General features: G+C 39.2%; 1 long non-coding RNA gene across 1 annotated transcript, besides 2 other annotated features; it reads right to left on the reverse strand.

Moving 5' to 3' along the window:
- Positions 1 to 83: 83 nt before the first annotated feature.
- On the reverse strand, positions 84 to 2,796 carry LOC101928326 (uncharacterized). The gene is made up of 2 exons (XR_245604.4): positions 800 to 2,796; positions 84 to 257 (listed from the first exon to the last, which is right to left on the reverse strand). It is a non-coding gene; the product is annotated as an uncharacterized LOC101928326 (long non-coding RNA).
- Positions 18,378 to 18,569: a silencer, noted in NCBI's record as "fragment chr6:136146577-136146768 (GRCh37/hg19 assembly coordinates)". NCBI's record gives its function as "represses an EF-1alpha promoter that drives an FKBP-Casp9 reporter gene in an ReSE screen in K562 erythroleukemia cells {active_cell/tissue: K562}" and the evidence as "EXISTENCE:reporter gene assay evidence [ECO:0000049][PMID:32094911]".
- Positions 19,366 to 19,865: an enhancer, noted in NCBI's record as "H3K4me1 hESC enhancer chr6:136147565-136148064 (GRCh37/hg19 assembly coordinates)". NCBI's record gives its function as "activates a minimal SCP1, AML or CMV promoter by ChIP-STARR-seq in naive H9 embryonic stem cells {active_cell/tissue: H9 hESC(naive)}" and the evidence as "EXISTENCE:reporter gene assay evidence [ECO:0000049][PMID:30033119]".

Here is a 21,769-nt window from a genome sequence, read left to right on the forward strand (position 1 = left end):
TGCTATATTATGGGACTGACTCTTTTATTGCATTAAAACTAACGGATGCATATTGAGTAATTAGCTTTGCCTTTCTTTCTATACTTTCTCTTAAATCTTTATAAGGGATAGCACGGGAACTATATTTTTATCTCCAAGTTTGCCTCCAAGTCCAGCTGTGTAGTGAAAGGGCAGCAGGAAACTTCATGAAGTATGCCTTCAGCTCAGAGTCAGAACCCGCATTCAGAACTTTGCTGGGGATGAGAGAAAGGTCAAACCTGTGGGTTAAAAGAGAAAGAGAGAGAGATGAGAAATTTACAGATTTTTATGAAGAAAGCTACAATAATTTGTGCTCTGGACACAGACGGACTTGGGTTAGGGTCCTGGCTGTACCACTTAACCTACATAGGCTTAGTTTCTATATTAATAAAGCAGGGCTGATGGTGAATATAAAGATTTTAAAGGCTCTAGAATATAGCAGGCACTCAAAAAATGTTACAGTTATTATTCCAAAGAACATTTGGTGACATAAAAACATGAGGATAAATATCATCCAGGAAAAATGGAAGATTCTGCGTAGGTGATAGTCCAAACACCATTCAGAAAGCCAGTGCATGGGCAAATTGCTTTGGAGCCACAAAAAGCTAGGAATTAATGACGTCTTGGGCTTCAAGGAAATAGTGGGGAGCTGATCTCCCACAGGTGTGGGAGCCTATCCAAACTCTCTGTTTTCCTCCGTGTCCTCTGACTGATGCCCAAATCCAACCTGGATGACTTGTCACACCTGTGACACTAGCACCCACCCAACTCTGATACTCACCAGTTTAGCAAGGCCCTCTTCCATGTTCAGGTACCTAAACTCCAGACCCCTTGGGACACACTGACTTATACTTTGGGGCACTTTGTCCCACTGGAAGAATATGGGAGTAGGGAGAATAGAGAACAATGGTAAGAGAAGCTTACTCTCCCAGCCTCATCATCTCCGGCTTTCTCTATCACTGAACCCTTTCCTCATAGACTCTCCAGGTCTCATGAGCTTGATTAGGCGACTCATGAAAAATTCTCATTACTGAAGCCTGAGATTTCTCCTTTGCCTGCCAGTCACCCTCTGTCTCTCCAGAGTCAGAACGTTTGCAATTTCCATCTCAATGATTATTTTAACAAGTGAATTAGGTTTGTTGCCCACTCTGTAGATTTAGGAAGGACCCTTATCTATGAGTGATTTCGGTCTCACATCCCAAAAGTCCACATTTCTACTTCAGCAGGCCACATCATGTTTGTTCCATGGTTCAGAATATCTGAACTTTTAGTTTAGAACTGGCTGGTGGGGACCTGGAGTTCATGCAGGCAGTCTGCTCTGGAGTCTGCGTCCTTATTCCCATTCTAGTCCACATCCCTCTAACTAGAGTGGATGGGGAGGGGAGAGGAATGGAACAAAAAAGGTAGGTTAAAGTTGGATTGAATAGAATCTTGAAAGCTAAACCAAAGAATTAGAATCTTACTATGTAGGCAGTCGGAATTCAGAGAGATTAAACAAAGTGGTTTTTGAGGAATAGTAATTGGTTGGCAGAACACAGGATTGAATAGAATAAGGAAGATATTAAAAGATTAAGAGACTGTTTAGAAGGTATTACATTAATCTAGGTTTAACAAGATGAAAACTCAGCCTAGGAGGTAACATTGGGAACTAAAAAGAAGTGATGGGCATGAGCCAGTTAACATCAGCATGACCTGGTGGGTGATTGGAGTGGAGAGTAAAAGCGATAAGTCTGGTTTTAAGAGTAGATGATGAGGAGATCTAATTACATACACACACCCATAACTAAGGAGTTGTATCTGATAAATTATTTAATCTGAACCTAAATATTTTTATTCCTTAATTTAAACCTCCTCCCTTTTTTATCTTCAGCTTAAACATTGCTGTTTAAATCCTCCTTAACACTTTACGCTTAAGACTAAATGATCCTGATATTGTTTTTTCTCATTCCTCCACTTCTTAAATACATATATATATATATGCTAATTAATGGGCAGAGTTGGTATGCATGTACTGTCTATATCTCTATAGGTGAAAGCAAAAAACGGATTCTGGAGATAAAAATAAGAATGATAGCTCTCCTTTATTGAACACTTATTATGTACCTACTTCTGTGCTGAGCTGCTCATATGTATTATCTATTGAATGCCCATAACAACCCTAAGAAATAGATACCATTATTGTCTTCATTTGCCCAGGAGGAGGCTGAGGCTTGGAGGAGTATAAGAACTTGCTGACAGTCATAACATCTGAAGGGGATTAGAATATGTCACGCCAAAATATGCCACTTTGGCATAATAATTATTTTAAGTTGAAGGCAATTGAGAAAAAGCAGACACAAGAAGAGCTCTTTTCCCTCCCCTATCTGCCTAAACATAGGGCATAAAGCTTTCTTGTGAAAGTATTTCCCCACCTTCCATATCAGGAAAGGGATAACAAACTGTACCACTGGAAATGGAGACAGCACCTAAATAAGTCTGTATAGACAAACCTTACTACATAACCTTTATCTAGCAGTTAATTTCCCCCATATATTTACCTTCCCACAATTTGCCACTCCTAGAAAGCCAAGCCCCTTTCTTTTGTGTAGTCACTTCTCCATAATTTATCACTCTTTGTTAAAATGGTGTATAAGGCCAAGTCTAGTCACTTCTTTGGGCTGTTTCCTTCTGTTTCTTCAAAGCCCATGTACATGTACAAAGATTAACATCCAGTAAATTTTGCATGCTTTTCTTCTGTTAATCTGTCTTCTATTAATTTAATTCACAGGCCCCAACTACAGAAGATAAGAGGGCATAGGAAAAGTTTTTCCTCTCTACAAGCCAAAAGTCGCAAGGCTAATATTTACTCCCCTGATTCTCTCCTCCAGAGCCCACACCCTTCATCACTACTGATAAAGGTATGATAATGAATTCTAAATTCCTTTCTTAAAATCTGCTAATTGGGTAAAGAAGTAAAGAAAAGTTTGATATTCTCCTCCATATAATGGCTTATTTATAGCTATAACTTACTTGTCAAATACAAATGCTACCGTGGTACTATTTATGTGACACGTGATCCAAAGACTGTTACCACACACTACACTAAAACATGGATATGACATATTTCCTGTGAAGAAGAATTTGGTATGATTTAGAAAATCTTGAATCATATTCAATAACTTAATTTTTTATCCAGGATATAAACATATAATTGTTTCAAGGTATAAACTCCTGTACAGAATGTCAGTGTATTATGGCACACCCCATAAAGAGACTGTAAAAAACAATTATAGTTTTATGCTCAATTAAAGAGACGGAAATTTTTAAAAGGGGCTATGTCAATCAGAAAGAAAAGTACCTAGGGCTCATTAATTTAAAGACAGTAATTGATACGCTGGCTTCAGGAGTGTTTTTCATATTATCATTAATCAACTCTTCATTTGAAAAACACACACGAGGGAATTACTGAAAGAGTAGGTATCACATTTAATTTTTTCCACTATGTTTTTCCTAGTTTCAAATATGTTTTTCAAATCTGGCATTCATGGTTGCTACTGCACTGGAATAATGGTAACAACAGGCTGATGAGAATCTTAAGTGGCACTTACTCAGTGGAGTAATTGGAAGCGGCAATGGTTATACAAATGAATGCCCCTCAGAGGGAAGAAGGAGAGATTTGCCTTGAAACTGCGGCTGTAAAAAGTTAGTGCTGGTAAGTGAAGAAACAGAAACTAAGTGATAGAGAATGGGAACTAAGGTAGAAATAACTAACAAAGATCACTGTGCAGAACCGTAGTGGTGTTCAGAGTAGATGCGCAAGTCCATATGCATGTAGCAAATACAAGTCTCAACCCACAAAATAAAGTGAAGATGAATATATTTTAATTTTGTTAATAAAGTTATTTTAATTTCTGTTATAAGCTCTCTTCCACCAAGACAGAAGCACGGTCACATGCCTGGGTAAAAAGAATATCCCAGATACCCAAGACTAGACAGCATGCAGGGGTGACAGGCTTATTAACTTCACACTCACTGGGCCATCAGTACTTTACTTATAACCTCATTCATGGTTTTGAAGTTTTAAAAAAATGTTGCCACCTTGTTATTTTGTTACTCCTCTCTTATAAGTGATTTTCAGATAAGCAGAAACACATTAAAGGGAAAGTTTATTTGGTTCATTTGCAAGGCAGAGTCCATGGATTTCTTTTGGCTATCCCTTTTTGCACTTTCAATGGAACAAACAGTGCAATTTTTATCCCTTCTGTTTTTAGAGCAGCAGCTGTAAAAGTAATTAATGGCTAAAGAGACTCTAGCACATCCTACTGAAAGGCCATTCTGGGTTCAGCAGGAGCTCTGGACCCCAGGCTCCTGCCTCTGCACGTTCACAGACTTGCAGAGAGCACTCTGATGAATGCTGAAGGACCCCCCTCCCAAACTTGGGATCTCCGCAGCACCCTGATCCATTTTGACCACTGCCACTTATAAAGAAAACTGGTGTCAACAGGTGTTTTCATACTATTTCCAGTGATGACTTTGGTGCATATCCAGTATTCTTTTTTTTAATCTCTGGGAGTTGACAATGTTCTCATGAATTCTATTAAAAAATGAGCATTTCCCCTAATATGTTTTCTCTTCCTTTCAGCCTTCACTTTCTTCTTTTTGTCTCTACCTTCCTTAAAATAGCATTGTGCAAAAACATCCCTGAGGTTAAATAATAATCATGTATAATGAGGAAGCGTTCTGTGTGTGCCCTCTGCAGAGTCAGAGGCCTGATGTGGGACTGAAAACACAAGCTGGCCTCCAGGCCTGGTGAGGGTCATGCTCCCTGTGACCTCGAGTCAATTGCTCGACACTTTGGATTCTCAGTTTTCTGATCTTTAAAATAAGGATGACAGTACCTACCTGGGCTACTTCACAGTGTCCTTGAGGGATCATGAAAGTGAGTGTATTTTGTAAACTGCAGTGTTCCATAGGGACATAAGGAATGTTGGTCTTATTGATTTTGTTAGAACAAGACTCTTCAGAAACAGTGGTGAGAGAGAGGAATCAGTCCGGGATTCCTCTTTTCCATCTCATTGACTCATCTGATAACACTGAGATAGTGGCTTGCTGCTGCATATTCCCTAGCGGACTGAGAGAACACACATTTGCCAAATATGGAGGGGAAGATGAGCTTTCTGAACACCCTCCTATTGTCTGCACTGGAGCTAAGCCAGGCCACATCTTCAGGATAATGATCTGAGGACGGTCAGGCTCAATTCATTCTGCCTGAGCTTTGCTGCTGCCCCTTCAAACTACTTACGAAAGTGGTATTAGGTTGTGATGGCTGCTGCCCCACCCTTGGGAGAATGCCCAGGGGATGTGGACTGCCCTAGGCAGCCACAGGAAACTGGACCAGAAAGTGCAGAGTCACTGTGTGCCCAGGCGCCTGCAGGCAGATCTTTCTCCACCACATACATTTTTAGTGGGCCCTCTCACAAATGCCTGATATTTAACATTTGAGAAAGTCAGCAAAATGTTTTGTTAGTCTTTTATTCACCATTTTAAGAATATAACGTTTATCCAGTTGGTGTCGGATAAAATCGGGAAAGAAAAATATGACTGCACTATAGACTCAGGGCCCAAAATTATTCTGATGATGGCCAAGTAAAAACATTAAAAGCTGAAAAATATAATAGCATCCAGGATATTACTGAAGATTAGTTTTAAGCTTAAGTTTTTTTCCCTCACTTATCCAGATTTGAGTATGAGAAGATTTAAAGAATTCTATAAAAACTGTGAAAATGCATCTGCTAAATTAATAACAGTATTTATTTCACAAAAATGTCCTAAGTTTTGTAATGCCTCTAAAACAATTCTCAAACTTCTTGGTCTCAGTATCCCTTTAAAATTCATACATTACTTAGGACCCCAAAGGGCTTTTGTTCATGTAAATAATATCAATATGTATTTATTGTATTAAAAGTTAAACCTGAGAGTTTTTAAAAATTTATTTACTAATTCATTTAAAATTAACAAAAACAAACATACTACCTGTTAACATCAGTGCAATGATGTCGTCATATTGATGCCGGATTTCTTGCTCCTTAGCTCAGCTAGGTCTGGGTTCTTGTCTCATGACCAGGAAGAAGTAGGCACCTGGGCACTCTTAGAGTGAGCAAGGCAGGAAATTTTATTGAGTGATGAAACAGCTTTTTCAGGAAGGGGACGGGGATGGTCCCCCTATCCAAAGGCAGGAGAGTTCTCAATATAACCGAGCCCAGGGCTTTTTAAGGGCTCAGAATAGGGAGTGTGTGCTGACTGGTTTGTGAGTATGCAAAAAAGGTCAAAGCAAAGATGCCACTCAAAGGTGGGCACGACATTGTAGAAAATCAATTAGGAAAGGGTAGGTATGTGTAAAATGGGTGAAGGGTGGAGATCAATCAGAGGAAAGCACACCAAACAGGAAAGCGGGTTCTCAATCTGGTTCGAGGAGTTAACTTGTAGCTTGGCTTTCAGGCTTTAAACTGTCTTTGGCTTGGACGTGGGATTTCGCTGGGGACCCGCCCCTACATGCTTAGGCATTTGGCTGCCTCCTGCTGCTCTCAATATTTCATATAGCTATGGAAAAACTCTACTCATAAGGAAATGAGAGTGAGAAGGGCAAATGACTTCTTAGTGCTTGCTTGTCAAGGGCTTGTTTGACAATGTTTGCTCTAAAATATTTTGATCTCCATGAAAAAAGTGTTAAAGAAAATGAGGAATTACAATTTTATTATCCTAGGATTTTTAAAAGTCTGTTTCATTGATCTTAAAAAGTATATTTGTATTGTTCAAATTGTGGGCTATGAGTTTGAATCCTCATCCTGTCATGTACTGGTTGAATGACCTTGGACAAGCTATTTAAGTTTTCTGGACTTCAGTGTCCTCACCTGTAAAATAAAAATGATAATTGTATACCTTCCCCTTGGGGATGTTGTGATGAGCAAATTACTTAACCTTATGTATGTCATGGTTGTCTAGAGGGAAAAAAACATATATATAAAATATTGGATATGTTCTATATATGTGTGTGTGTGACAGAGATACACACACACAAACACACACACACACACACAGAGATTTATGTTAAGGAATTGGCACACGTTACGGAGGCTGGCCAGTCCAAAATCTGCAGGGCGGACTGGCGCCTGGAGACCCAGGGAAAAGCCAGTGTTGCAGCTCAAGTCCAAAGGTCATTTGCTGGCAGAATTATCTCTTGCTCCAGGGAAGGTTAATCTTTTGTTCTGTTAAGGCCTTCAACTGATTGAATAATTATGGAGGGCAATTTATTTTGCTCACAGTCCACCAATTTAAATGTTAATCTCAAAAACACCCTCAAAGTAACAACCAGAATAATGTGATTACATATATGGGCACCATGATCCAGCCAAGTTGATATAAGACATTTTCGTTGACCAAAAAAGCCAAACTCTATAAAATATTTGAAGATATTTATTCTGAGCCAAATGTGAGGACCATGATCTGTGACACAGCCTCAGGAATTCCTGAGAATATGTGCCCAAGGTGGTTGGGTTACAGCTTGATTGTATACACTTTAGGGAGACAGAAATTACAGGCAAAAACATAATACATATAAGATTCACATTGGTTCGGCCTGGAAAGGCAGGACATCGAGGGGGGCCGGGGAGTGTGACTTCCAGGTCATAGGTAAATTCAAAGATTTCCTGATTGGCAATTTGTTGAAAGAGTTAGGTTATCTAAAGCAAGCTTGTCCAACCTGCAGCCTGCAGGCCACATGCAGCCCAGGACAGCTTTTAATGCGGCCCAATACAAATTTATACACTTAAAACATTATGAAATTTTTTTGTAATTTTTTTTTTTTAAGCTCATCAGCTATGGTTGGTGTTAGTGTATTTTATGTGTGGCCCAAGACAATTCTTCCAGTGTGGCCCAGGGAAGCCAAATGATTGGACACTCCTAATCTAAAGAGTTAAAGTCAGCAGAAAGAAATGCTTGGGGTTAAGACAAGGGGGGCTATGGAAGTCAAGGTTCTTGTTATATAGATGAAGCCTCCAGGTAGCAAGCTTCAAAGACAGTGATCATGGTAAATGTATCTTATCAGATCTTAAAATGTGCCAAACTCTTAATTAAATCACTCAAGGATCAGGAAAAGACCTGGAAAGGGAAGGGGATTCTCTACAAAGTGTAAATTCTTCCCACAAGAGATAGCTTTGCAGGGCCGTTTCAAAATATGTCAAAGAAATATATTTTGGGGTAAAATACTTTGATTTCTTTCAGGGACTGCCATCTGTCACGTGATGCTATACTAGAGTCAGGTTGGAAATTGGTATCTTATTGCTACAAAGAGTCTGTTTCCTCAGTCTTAAGATCTCTGTTTTAATGTTAATGTGAGTCGATGGTGCCTGAATTCCAAAGGAAGGAGAGTATAACAAGGCACATTCAAACCTCCTTCCCATCATGGTCAGAACTAGTTTTTTAGATTTCTCCGAAATCCCTTTGACTGAGAGGATGGGGTCCATTCAGTTAGTAGGTTGGGGGGCTCAGAATTTTATTTTTGGTTTACACTTTGAATGGTGCCCGGCATATACAAACTCTAAACAAATGTTATATATTCTTAATATTGTATTGAATATATATTGTTTTTAGGTGTTGCATGAAAAAATCAAGTAATACGCAAAGCAAATTTTTATTTTTATGGAGAAAAAAACCATAAAACCCAGGAAACAAGTAATAAAGGTTAACATGGCTTTTTATACTTAATAATACTTCATATTTTGAATTAATATATAAGAAGATTCAGAAAAACCAGTGGGAAAAATATGTAACTGTTGATGAAAAGAGTTAAACTCCGTACAATATTTGAAGAGATTTATTCTGAGCCAAATATGAGTGACGATGGCCCATGACACAGCCCTCAGGAGGTCCTGAGAACATGCATCCAAGGTGGCTGGGGTACAGCTTGGTTTTATATATTTTAGGAAGGCATGTGACACCAATCAAATACATTTAAGAAATACATTGGTTTGGTCCAGAAAGGTGGGACAACTCAAAGTGGGAGGCTTTCAGGCTACAGGTAAATTTAAACATTTTCTGGTTGACAATTGGTTGAGCTTGTCTAAGACTTGGGATGGATAGAAATGAATGTTCACGTTAAAAATAAAGGATTGCAGAGACCAAGTTTTATTGTGCAGAGGAAGCTCTCAGATAGCAGACTTCAGAAAGAACAGGTTGTAAATTGTTTCTTACCAGACTTAAAAGGATGCCTGGCTCTTAGCTGATTGTCTTCTGGATCTGGAAAGAAAGGAAGGAAAACAAAGGGGAAAAGGGATTCTCTACAGAATGTGGTTTTTTCCCACAAGGGACTTTGCAGGGCAATTTCAAGATATGGCAAGGAAATATATTTTGTGGTTAAATATTTTTTCCTCATCTTATAATGTTATGCCAGAATCAGATTGAAAAGTCACAAAATATAGGGTCAAATGAAATCCATCTGATGAGAACTTATGGTTTGTAGGGCATGACTCCCTAGACCCCTTAGGTAGGAATTTGGGTAACATAAAAAAATCAGAGCTTAGTCCTCATAACCCAGAAACAAATCTTATCATATACAGTGATATGATAAAAATTGGCATCACAATGTGAAAGGTGAGTTAATCATTCAGTAAACAGTGTTTAAACAATTGTTAATTATTTGTTTAAAAAAATTACTTTATATCATCACTTTAACCAAAAAATAAATTCCAATTCTATTTAAGAGTGAAATGCTAAACATACACATACACACACACACACACACACACACACATTACAGAAAATAATTTATAAATTTATCTATATCTATATATAGATAAATATTTAGCTTATCTTTGGGTAGGATTTTAACTCAGAAATCATTGGAAATATTACTAAAACATTAAAACATTGATTACATTAAAATTACCAGTGTTAAAGGTAACAAATTGTGAAAGAACATCTACGCAAATGTAACACAGAATCGTTAGTATATGTAAAATATTGCAGGCTTACATAAATTGATAGGAGCAATATAAGATCCCACTGGGGAAAAAAATGGCAATGGTATCATCCTGGTCTGTCAGTTTCCTTTGAGTCACAAGGATAATAGAAGTACAGATTCTTTAAAGTAATGGAAATTTATGTAGAATTCCTCAGAATGCAGAGTTAGAGAGAAAATCATCCCTTAAGTAACAGTCATCTGGGACCCCAATGTCATCTTAACTGGGATAAAGTGTTGGCTTCAAAGACAATTATGAGAACTGTCTTGTTTAGGACAATCTCTTGTTTGCCTTTCATTTGTACTTCATAAAAACTGAACATGATTAAATTGTTTGGTAATAATAGATGGATTGAAGAAATTGATTCATGGGAATACATTTTGGACTAGATTTGTCACACCCACAAATGAAAAATGGATATTTTCTAGACTTTCACTTATTTTAATTGATGCACAATGGCTTATTTAAAATGTTTCAGCCTTAATCCTCCCTCTCCCTGCTTTTTGTGAGATTTTCTGGTCTCACCAACTACAGTTCTTTCCAGGTTTGGGGATGGAAAAAGCGTGGTACCTTTTCATCCCATCATAAGGGTCACAGCCAACACTCCTATAACAAAAAACAGGTTAACATGAGAAAAGCATAACACATTTCTTTAATCAAAGTTTTATATGACATGGGAGGCTTCAGAAATGAAGACCTAAAGACCCAGGGAAAACTGTCTATTTTTTTGCTTAGGATCAATGAAGAATGGACAGCCATGTAGAAATGTGATTGGACCAAAGGTTGTGATCTAATGGTGATAGGTTGCAGGGGAAACCCAGCAAGGCCTGACTGTTCAGATTCTTCTTGGCCTCTTTGTGTGGTATTTCTTTCTCCTGGGTATGCAGCAGGACCCCTCTGGAATGAGGGTCTTATGACCTGCTTTCAAGCAAGGTAGGTCAGATGGCTTCCTTGTGGCCAGCTCCTACACAGAAAGTTTAGAGCAATATTTCTAGTTTCTATGACCCACCTTGGGAAAGAGGAATTCTAGTTTCTATGGCCTGCCTTGGGGAACAGGAAAAAGAAAGGCAGGAGAAAGTCAGAGACAGACTTTGATTCTGAGACCCTTCCAATGTCCTTCGGTTTAAAGCACTCAGCATGCCAAAGTGCCATGCTGAGGTGGTTCAGAAAACCCCCAACACAGGACTGTGAGCTCATGGCTGGTGGGGACTTACTGTCTATGTGAGTCTGTGCCTCACACAAGTGCATCACACCCCCATGCCTCAACACCACATGTAAAGACAACTCCCTTGAAGGATTAATTGGCACTTTAAAAAGGATGTTGGAACAGAGAACCAAATTCCGGATACTTTCTTTCCCCTACTATTTCCACAAGAGGCACCATGCAGGTTGACTCTTAGCCCTGGTTGTCCCAAACCAGAATGAAAGGTCTGGCTTGACTCATGGAGATTAGCTTAGGCTGCTGGGCAAAAGAACCAAACCCTGGTCCTGACTGTTGCATTGGAGCCTTCTGTGTGGTCTAGTGGAGAAAATACTTGCTGGGAGCCAGAAATTGAGATCTGCTCCTTGTCCAGTCTTCAGAGCAGGTGGCGGGGCCAGCTTTGCCAGAGTCCAAGTGGGGCACTTATGTTTGCAGCCTTCAGATTTCCCTAAAAATAGCAAGACCTCTGCATCCATGTATCTTTTGGTTGAGTCTCAGTCACTTGTAAGCTTCAACAATTAAATTTACCTCCCTGAACCTCAATGTTCTCATTTATAAAATGGAAGAACTGCTTACATCATGCCCCTTAAGAAGATTAAATAACATTGCACTGCGCACATAGAGCATGTGTTTGGTGTATAATAATCTCAAGAAATGAACTTCTCTCCCCCTTAAGCTTATGTCACCATCTTGTTTCCTAACAGATCCATTTTTGATTAATTTTCAGACAGGAAAGGATCATATATATTCAAATGGTGTTTTATTAGCTAATAAGGCAAACTAAATGTTCTCTCCCAAGCATATTGGTATTTTAATATGGAAAAATGGGAAATTATGCTGTCATGGTGATACCTGAGGCAGCGAGGAGAAGCCAACAAGGACTGTATCCAGAGATTCAGGAGAAATTATCCAAGAATTCTTTGCTTCATAGCATTTTTGAATCAATCTTTTGATTTAAGCCTTCTGAAACTTAACTTGCCAATATTTTGAAAAGTGAACTATCAAGATTGTTGTCAATCACACCCTAGTGTGGTTTAACTTTCAGATCCCTTTTTGGAAGGGAAGTTTTATTTAATCCATGTGTTGAGAAGAGGAGGATGCAGTTCATATAACCTGGATATTTAGAGTGAAGGGAGAAAGAAGATACAGTGAATATGAAATGAAACTTTCACATAATTCACACATGTACCCAGAGTTGCAAGGAGAAAACAAAAGTATTGGTACATAAGTACTTTTACGTGAAATGATTTAAAATGTTTGTATATGGTATTTTTTGTTGTAGTTTCTGAGATGGAGTCTTGCTCTGTCCCTCAGGCTAGAGTGCCGTGCCACGGTATTTTAATTTATTTTTCTTTATTTTGAATTTCTCTACTCAAAGGTACATTTTAAATACCCTTAATCATCATGATGATCCCACACTTCCTGCAGATTCCCATAGAAAGTCACACATCTTCCTCCTGTTGAACTATTGCTCCACAAATCATAGTATTTGCCTAGGATTTTGCTTTTTAAAGTTCCATTGCCACATTTGTGGTAAATTCTATTGTGTATGGTAACACATGATAACAACAATGCGTAGCGCCTAAAAGCTCTAATGACCAGCAATTCTGTGGTCAGTAAAAGGAAATTACATAACATTAGTAGCCAATATGCTGTTGAGGGAAAAGTCCTCACATTTCTCCTGACCATCCCTGCCCCTGTCACTTGCCACTAATAGTAGGTTTTGCAACTAGGTTTGGGGGTGAGTGGACCCTGGAGTACTATTCTCTGTACCCCCAAACCATGCCCAACCCTTCTACTTGGTTATTTCAACTCAGTGGTGGTCAAGTTTTGTTGTATTTAACTCCTACACAACTTCACTCTGTCTGTTCTATCATAAACCATGTGTGTCTAGTACTATCAAGCTAAGCATTTTCATTATTACTTTATTTACATAAAACCCTTTTAAAAGAATAATTTGACCTAAGATACAGGTCATCCTGGACTTTCCACCATGTATGTCTGTTAGTGGTGGTTTGTCTTTTTTGGGGGGGATATTTTGTTTTTTGTTTGTTTTGTTTTCAATTTTTTGAGTATTTACTATTTAAATAAAAAGCAATGGCAGCAAAGGTTTCTATTTCCATGTCCCTTTGAGCTTTTTCCTTGACATCCACTTCTCTCACAAGGATCTGGCCTTCATGCCAAGTCTCTGCTGATCTTCACTGCGGAGGGCAGCTCCTCCCAGGAGAGGGTCCAGCCCCTCCATTGGCTGGTGCCGGCCTCACATTTGTCCTGACCCTGTGTCTGGCTTGTGCTGCCCGTGATTATGGCTCCTGCCGGCCGCTCAGTGGCCCATGGGATTGTGGAGCAGAAAGCAGAAAAGGAATTTTGGATTACGGGGGGGAAATGATGCTTTAAAAAGGCAACAGTTTTCTGATGTCTATTTTTTTTTCATTCTAAGATAGTTTCATAAATTTCCTCTTCATTTCAACCAAGTACGCTTGGTTACACTTCCTAAGGAATTTTGTTCAACTAGATGGTATGTTTTGGTGAATTAATCCAAGAGGACGCTACTGAAAAAATATTATATATATGCAGCTTTCTTCACAGAACATATAACAGGATATATATTTGGGATGTTAATTTAAAAAACAATTTTAAGGTTAAGGAATGATATAGTGTGCTAGATTAAGATGTATTGAGCAAGTCATGCTTTACTTTTTGTTCATTTTACTAGGTCATTTAAATTCCTTTTATGTGCTCCTCAGGGCAGTTAACTCTTTACATGTTTGATTCAGTGCTGGAAAGGCTATAGGTATTGAAAGGCTCTAAAAAGTTAAGTGATTAAATAATTATGCTCATTATCTTTATCATATTTGATGTTTTAAATACTGCTAATAATTCATCTTACTTTATTTGCACTAAAAAGCTATTCTTGGATTTAATATTTCTAGTAATAAAAAAAGCAAAACAGATATTCTCTCATTTGTGTTCCTCAAAGTTAATTCTTTATTATCTTCCTTCTCCTCAAACATGAAGTTTTATCAACGGTGATGCATTTTCTTGTGTGTTTCTTACTCTATCAGACTTGATCCAGTCAGACTCACACACCTGAGATGAAACCCAGGCTCCTGGAAGCTATGAAATTGTTCAGTAATGTAGCCTTATAAGTAAGCAATTAAAGCAGGCCTGGAGTCCAGTAAGGCCTATGCCATTCATACTGGCAACAGGCGATGTATTTTCCATCACTCTTTCCCCTTGCCCAGATAGCTTCTCTCAAAATAGATGGTATGTTTTATTCTATCAAGCATTTATATTACCTTTTCCTTCCTAGCCATTTTAATGGAAATGGGTGGAGAATAAACAGTAACTCAATAAGAAGTCATAATTGCTCATTGTAGTACATCATTGATTGTGTGATTTTGTAATATAATTGTTATTGGGCTCTTATTGACTGGATTCTGGGTTTCTCCTGTCCTTGTTAGGTTTTGTGTTGACTATTTTCTCTTTCTATTTTTTTCCTAAGACTTTTAAAGTGTTTCTCAAATTATGGTCTTTGTTAAACTTTCTGCATCCCGTAATGTGGATGTTCAAAAGATTCCTGGTCCCCACTCCCTACCCACTGCCAACAGAATCAGATTCTCTGGAAGTGCGAGCTAGAAAAATACATTTTGAATAAGTACTCCTCCCCTCCTTAGGTGCTTCTTATGCATGCTGAAGTTATAAAACCATTGAGGAAAATAGACCCACCAGCATCATCTGAAACACAATTATCCTTCCAATTGTGTTTTTTTCCCCCTACACTTTCTCCTTTTTTTTAATCTATCATCTCTTCCATTTTCAAGACGATTTGTGAGTCAATGTAAATCTGTATTGCTGGGCCCTATCCACCAAATCTACATCCAGCCTTAGACATTACCAATATCAGGAATCATCTATGGAAAGATTCAGGCTTATTCCATAGCCATAAATCCTGGAAACTGTCCTTAGTCATTTAGCACAGTCTTAGAGGAGGCCTCGGCATTCTGTGGCTAGTATTACACCATCCTTTAGCATCATGAATGTCAAAGTTGTGCTGAGATGAAGTGAAATGTACCTGAAATAACAAAAATAAACAAACCAAAACTACTTCCTACTTGTTGAGTTTCTCCTACTTCCAAAATTACTCTGTTTCCAAAAGTTCCAGGTCCTACAAGTGCTCTAGATTCTATCCTATGCCTCTTTCCCATGAGGCTTTTGGACATCTTCAGGCTGTAGTTCTTTTTCCTACTCCCCTACCCTTAGAACATAGTAAGTAGTTAAATATGTTCTTGTTATTATGCTCATTCTCATTGTGTTATTTATACATGGCAAACACAACGGTGTCTTGCACATGTGGTCTATAATCTATAAATTTTATTTATCATTATAAATAATCTTCAAAACTATATTCAAGTAACATCTTGGGTAACAGAGCATATCACAGATAAACTGTGAAAGCCCAACACCTATTTAACTGATTTATCAACATGCTGGTGGATACTTAAAGGATTTGGAGTTTACTACATATTAAAGTGTATGTTATGTTATTATCAACTCAAACTAATTAATAAAATTAGCCAGGTGTGGTGGCTCATACCTGCAATCCTAGCAACTTGGGAAGCTGAGGCAGGAGGATCACTTGAGGCCAGGAGTTCAAGACCAGCCTGGGCAACATAGCAAGACCGTGCCTGTTAAAAAGTAAAAAATAAAATAATTAGCCAGATGCGGTGGCATGCTTCTGTAATCTCAGATATTCAAGAGGCTGAGATATGAGGATTGCTTGAGCCCAGAAGTCCGAGGCAGCAATAAGCCAGGATCGTGCCACTGCACTCCAGCCTGGGCAGCAGAGTTAGACCCAGATCCTTAAAATAAACTAATAGAATTTTCATCAACCTAGTTCTTCCTATTCTGGCATGACCAGTTCAGAAGTTTCTGTCCTACTTTAGTGTGTAATCATATTATTTAAAAATACCATAATTTTTAAAGGTGGGTGTTTGGTAACTCTGACATTTAGTGGAAAAAGATCAAAACAAATCCTTCCTTCGATTCTGGGCAACTAATGTCCACCCATCCTATGACTTTTATCCAGTCTGGCCCATCTGCATACTTGGCTAGCTTTTCTGGTCTCAGCACGGGTAACTTCTCTGTTGAGAAACTTTCCTCATCCAGCAAAATCTAGGTTTGGGGAAGCTCCCACAGGCTCTCACAGCATTCTGCCTCCTCACAACACCAATGACATTTGTCACTGCCTCCTGGGCAGTCTCTGAATCTAAAGTGTTTCATATTATAACTTCAGTACCAAGACAAGAGCCTGGAACACAGGTGGATGCCTTGATCAGTAAATTAATGCAACCTGTACATGTGAAACCAAACCCTGTATACTTTAGCATCATTTATGGCACAGAGAGCCCTCTTCGCTTTACTCTGATTAAGTGGCCATTCATTCTCCTTTTGTTTGGCTCCTGCTCTTTTGTTATGGCCCCCAGTTTCTGCATCCATTCTGCACCATGAATGTATCAGTTAATTTCAGTAATCCTGGTCCCATCTTCTGGAGCTCTCAGGGGACTCTGGTTCAGGCTCAACACTCTAGAGATTCCCAGTTTTCACAGCTTTAGAACAATCCCCTGCTCCAGCCTCTTAAGCCAAACCCTGAGGGCCCCTTAAGAGAGAGGACCAAACACTCTATGTCCTTATGGGTGTTTTCAATCTAGCATTCTAACCTCCTTGAAATCATAAAAACACATTTTTTTTCTTTGATTCATTTTATCTAAGTGTCTTGGACATTTCCATAAATGGATCTGTTGACAATAACTATGAACATGTTTTCACTGAAACTATCTCACTGATGAGTATTTGGTGGCTTTAGAAAGAGAAATGGTTGAATATTAGCATGGGGTATTAAAACCTGAAGGTTAAATGGATGAAGAGGACTTGAATGACCTTACTGAGGCAACACCGTGTGAAAAAAAACTCTTAACATTTTTTAAAGTCTTCTATTTGGTAGGTCCACAGAAAGGCATTCATCACCCAGAACTGGCCTTTGGAAGGACACAGACTTATATTTCCATATTTTCAATCACAGGTCAACAAAGTTTCCAGACTTTCCAAAGGTGAAAAACTGTACCTTAGGCTTGTTGAGTAGTTAGAGCAGAAGGAACAAGTTTGTCATTTGACTGGTCAGTAAACCTGTTTGGTGTCTGGCCAGACCAAAAATATTTTTTGAAGGGGAGTTCTCTTTGCCATGTTATTCTTAGTTTTGGCCCAAATTGTCTTTTATATTTTGTTGGCATCAAGGTGGGCTGCCAAGGAGAAGACCCCAGACTCTGAGCAGACCGCTAGGCAGAAGCAATTGGAAGAACACAATGAGCCCTTGATCTGAAAGAACTGACAGAAGAATTCAGGGAGTGACAAGAGCTGCTTCTATCCAGGAGGGCTAGTCTGAATGCAACGATTAAGCCATCCTGGGGCACAGTGCAGGGCGCTTGGTATTGATTCAATACATTTTTAAAAAAATAAGTGAATGGGGCCAGGTGTGGTGGCTCACACCTGTAATCCCAGCACTTTGGGAGGCCGAGGCAGGTGGATCACAAGGTCAGGAAATCGAGATCATCCTGGCCAATATGGGGAAACCCCGTTTCTATTAAAATACAAAAATTAGCCGACATGGTGGTGGGCGCCTGTAGTCCCAGCTACTCCAGAGCCTGATGCAGGGGAATCACTTGAACCTGGGAGGCGGAGTTTGCAGTGAGCCGAGATCGTGCCACTGCACTGCAGCCTGGTGACAGAGCAAGACTCCATCTAAAAGTAAATAAATAAATAAATAAATAAATAAATAAATAAATAAATATGTGAATGAATGAGAAATTTTATTTATGTTAAATTTTTGACCAGAGCATATGGCTCTATTACTGAGCCAGTCGGAAATGGCTCAGAATCCAGCAGTCAGCAACATCATACTATTCAGGGTCTTCAAATACACCCTCCAGTTTGACCAACAATTCCAGGAAGTGACCAGCAAAGTCTGCCTTTATCCCCTTCCATTAAGCACGTCAAGGCCAGTTTTGTGAAGCAGTTGATTACAATCCCCAACCTCAAGCAACCAGTGGAGAAACCTGCAGCTGAATCCCTTGACACCACTGAATATGAACTAAGGTGTTGGGCCTGGCCTTGTCTGTCTTACCCTTGAAAATGTACCCAAGAGACAATTTGGTTGGGACTGCTGCTATTTGGGAGACCTGATTCCACCCTGGGTAGATTTTTTTTTTAGACGGAGTCTCCCTCTGTCGCCCAGGCTGGAGTGCAGTGGCACGATCTTGGCTCACTGTAAGCTCCGCCTCCCAGGTTCACGCCATTCTCCTGCCTCAGCCTCCCAAGTAGCTTGGACTACAGGTGCCCGCCACCACGCCTGGCTAATTTTTTGTATTTTTAGTAGAGACGGGGTTTTGCCGTGTTAGCCAGGATGGTCTGGATCTCCTGACCTCGTGATCTGCCCGCCTCGGCCTCCCAAAGTGCTGGGATTGCAGGTGTGAGCCACCGCGCCTGGCCAATTTTTTTTAAGTGAAATTAAAGGCCCCTGACTTCAGGATGGGAGTCTTCTCTTCTTACTGATGGGCCAGCGTTCTCAGTGCACTGTCTTTGTGGCACCATGGCTACAGATTTGCTCTGGGCTCTTTGTGCTAATAAAGGCGAAGGGCTAGAAAAGATGGACCTTGTAACATCTTAAAGGCTCTAAGAGACAATTCTGCATAGGGTAAGAAAAAGGAAATTGGACAGCTAGACCTATGGTTCTTACTCCATTCTTAAAGTGGACTTGTTCCTTGGATACCAGGGAATACAACATTGACATAGTATAGTCCAATGGCTAAAAGTGACCTTTCTGAGGAGCATGATGCATTCAGGATACTTCTGCTTTGTGTTAATGTTTCTTCCCTTCTAATCTATTATTTCCAAGCTCGCAGATCAATGAATAGCTTTACTATTTAAGATTCCAGTTGAAGGGGGGGAAGGCAGGAATGTAAATTTGTAGGGAGGAGGGAAGAGCAATCAGCCACTCTAAGGTCCCATGGGAGCTGGCAAGCACTGGACCACAGAATGGAATGGGATGTGCTGAATGAAGCTCTGTCTGTCTTGTACACACCAGTCACTCCAAGGAGGGAGCCAGGAAGCAGGCGGCAGGGTATGTGGGCTGTCAGAGTAGATTCTGCTGAGAAGACATGTGTAAGGGAGAACTATTGCTTTACCAGAAGCGTTGACAAGAAATAGAAGCTGAGATGTCATTGCAAAATAGAATGCACCCAGAGTAGCATTTGAATGTGAATGCAATCATTGGAGAACCTACGGAGAGGCCAGGACAAAGGAGGGAATGTGTGAAGCTTGTTTGAGAGTTGCGAGTGAGAAAAAGTTGTTTGCTGCGATGAGTTGACAAAAGGAGGATTTTTAAAAAACAACTACTACTCTTTCCAAGGGTGACCAGTAACTATCTTAGAGAGGCAAATTTTATGAACCAGGCCATGACGGGAACTGAAGAAAATGCCTGCCAAAGTCAAATGTCTAAAGTAAATATACTTTTCATAAAGAAAGTACATAGTATTTGTGCATTTTATAAAATATATTTTATAAAGAAAATGTAAAGTACATAATATGTGCATGTGTGTATTTCTTTAAAGACTTATTTATAGAACTAGCAATCTTAGACTTTTTTGGTCAAACTCTTTGGTCATATTAGACTATTTAAAATACAAAAAGAAATAGGCATATTGGTGTATATACAATTTTCTAGCATTGCTTCTCTAAGTATTCTGTTTCTCTGTCAGTCTCTCTCTCTCTCTCACACACACATACACAAACACACACACACACACACCATGCACAACTATTAGCAGAACTGTTGTTTTGCAAAAGTTTGATGGTTTTTACTTCTTGGAATTGGGTCCTACCAGTTTGTCTATTGCCCTTCTGGGAAATGTGTCCACCTGTCATGGATGAAAATATTGCAAATGTGTCTTCTGTGTTACCGAAAGACCTAAGGGGGTGAATTCTATTTTGTAACCAAGAAAAGACTAGAGCCAGTTCTTAAATGCTTCTTCTAGAATTCAAATAAAAACTTAGAACATATCTACTGGCCATGTTGTTCTAATTAAAATATGTCAATATTAATGCCAACTATTACCGTGGGTACCCACACAGAAGAAAGTCACCAAAAAATGTGTGCAGTTTCCATATAAAGGCTGTTTTTATCACTATTTTAATTTAAAATGGAATATGGAGAAATGCATGAAAATAAAATGCTGTTTCTACCTTCAGTATTTATACTTATCACTCTTGGTACTTTTTCTAGAAACCCTTTATAGGACTCTTGTGTTTTCCTTTCCATCACTCTCCTCACTCCTCCAGGGCACCCTTTTCTTCTGAAGGCCAACTTGTGGAAACCCCAGGAGCTAGCTACCATGTTACAGGAGGCTGACCATCATCTGGACTCTCTCTTATGTCAGACTGTGGAATGTAAATTTTGGAAGTGCCAGGAGCTATAGTTTCTATCATGTATACAAAACTTCTCTGAAGTGAGAAAGACTGCAATTGACATACCAAGAAGAGCACAGACAGGACACAAAGGTATAGTCTTGTCAGTGTTCAAGCTCCTGGTCCCACTTATTTCTCTGAATTACTACCCATCCTGGGATTTAATTGTCCTAGAGTTCTTTGGGTTGCATGAGCCAACAAATGCCCACTTGTCCTAAGCAAGTATTGCTTGGGTTTTCCATCATTTCATCTTCTATTCTATTCAGAAGATTCAGAAGATTTAACAAAGTCCTAGGTATGAATAAGGAAATAAATCTTAGGACAGATTATTTCCAGGAGCAGTAATTAGAAATATTAAGCTGTAGCCAGACATGTCCATGGCATGATGTATAGTTAGGATATGTACCATTGACCACAACACAGGTATGGTGGTTTTAAAAAATATGTTGCAAATTCTTTGACACTGATTCTCTTTTCATTAGGTCAGATCTAATTCCTTCTCCTTTTGACTATGGACTTGACTTAGTGACTTGTTTCTAACAAATAAAATATGAGAGAAGTGATGTTATATAACTTTTGAGACTAGGTCTTAGATAGTTTCAACTGGCTTTCTTTCTCATGGATCACTTGTTCTTGGAGAAGTTAACCTCCAGGTCATGCAGACAGGCAAAGAACCTGGAGAGAGGCCTATGTGGAGAGAAACCGAGGTCACCTTCAACAGCCAACACCAACTTGCCAGCTATGTAAGTGAGCCATCTTGAAATGGATCCCCCAGTCCCAGTTAAACCTTGAGATGATTGGTCAACATCTTGAATGCAATCTTATGAGAGACCATGAGCCAGAGCTACCCAGCCAAGCCACTCTTGAATTCCTAACCCACAGAGATAATAAAATGTTTACATTTTTAAGCTACTAAATGTACGGGAAATTTGTTGTATAATAAGATAACTAATACTATGTCCAAGATTAAGGGAAATTACTTTGAAGAGGTTCGTCAATTAGCATCAGTCATAAGTGACGGCAGGAGATCCCAAAT

Source organism: Homo sapiens, chromosome 6 (genome assembly GCF_000001405.40).
Source record: "Homo sapiens chromosome 6, GRCh38.p14 Primary Assembly".
Lineage (NCBI taxonomy): Eukaryota > Metazoa > Chordata > Mammalia > Primates > Hominidae > Homo > Homo sapiens.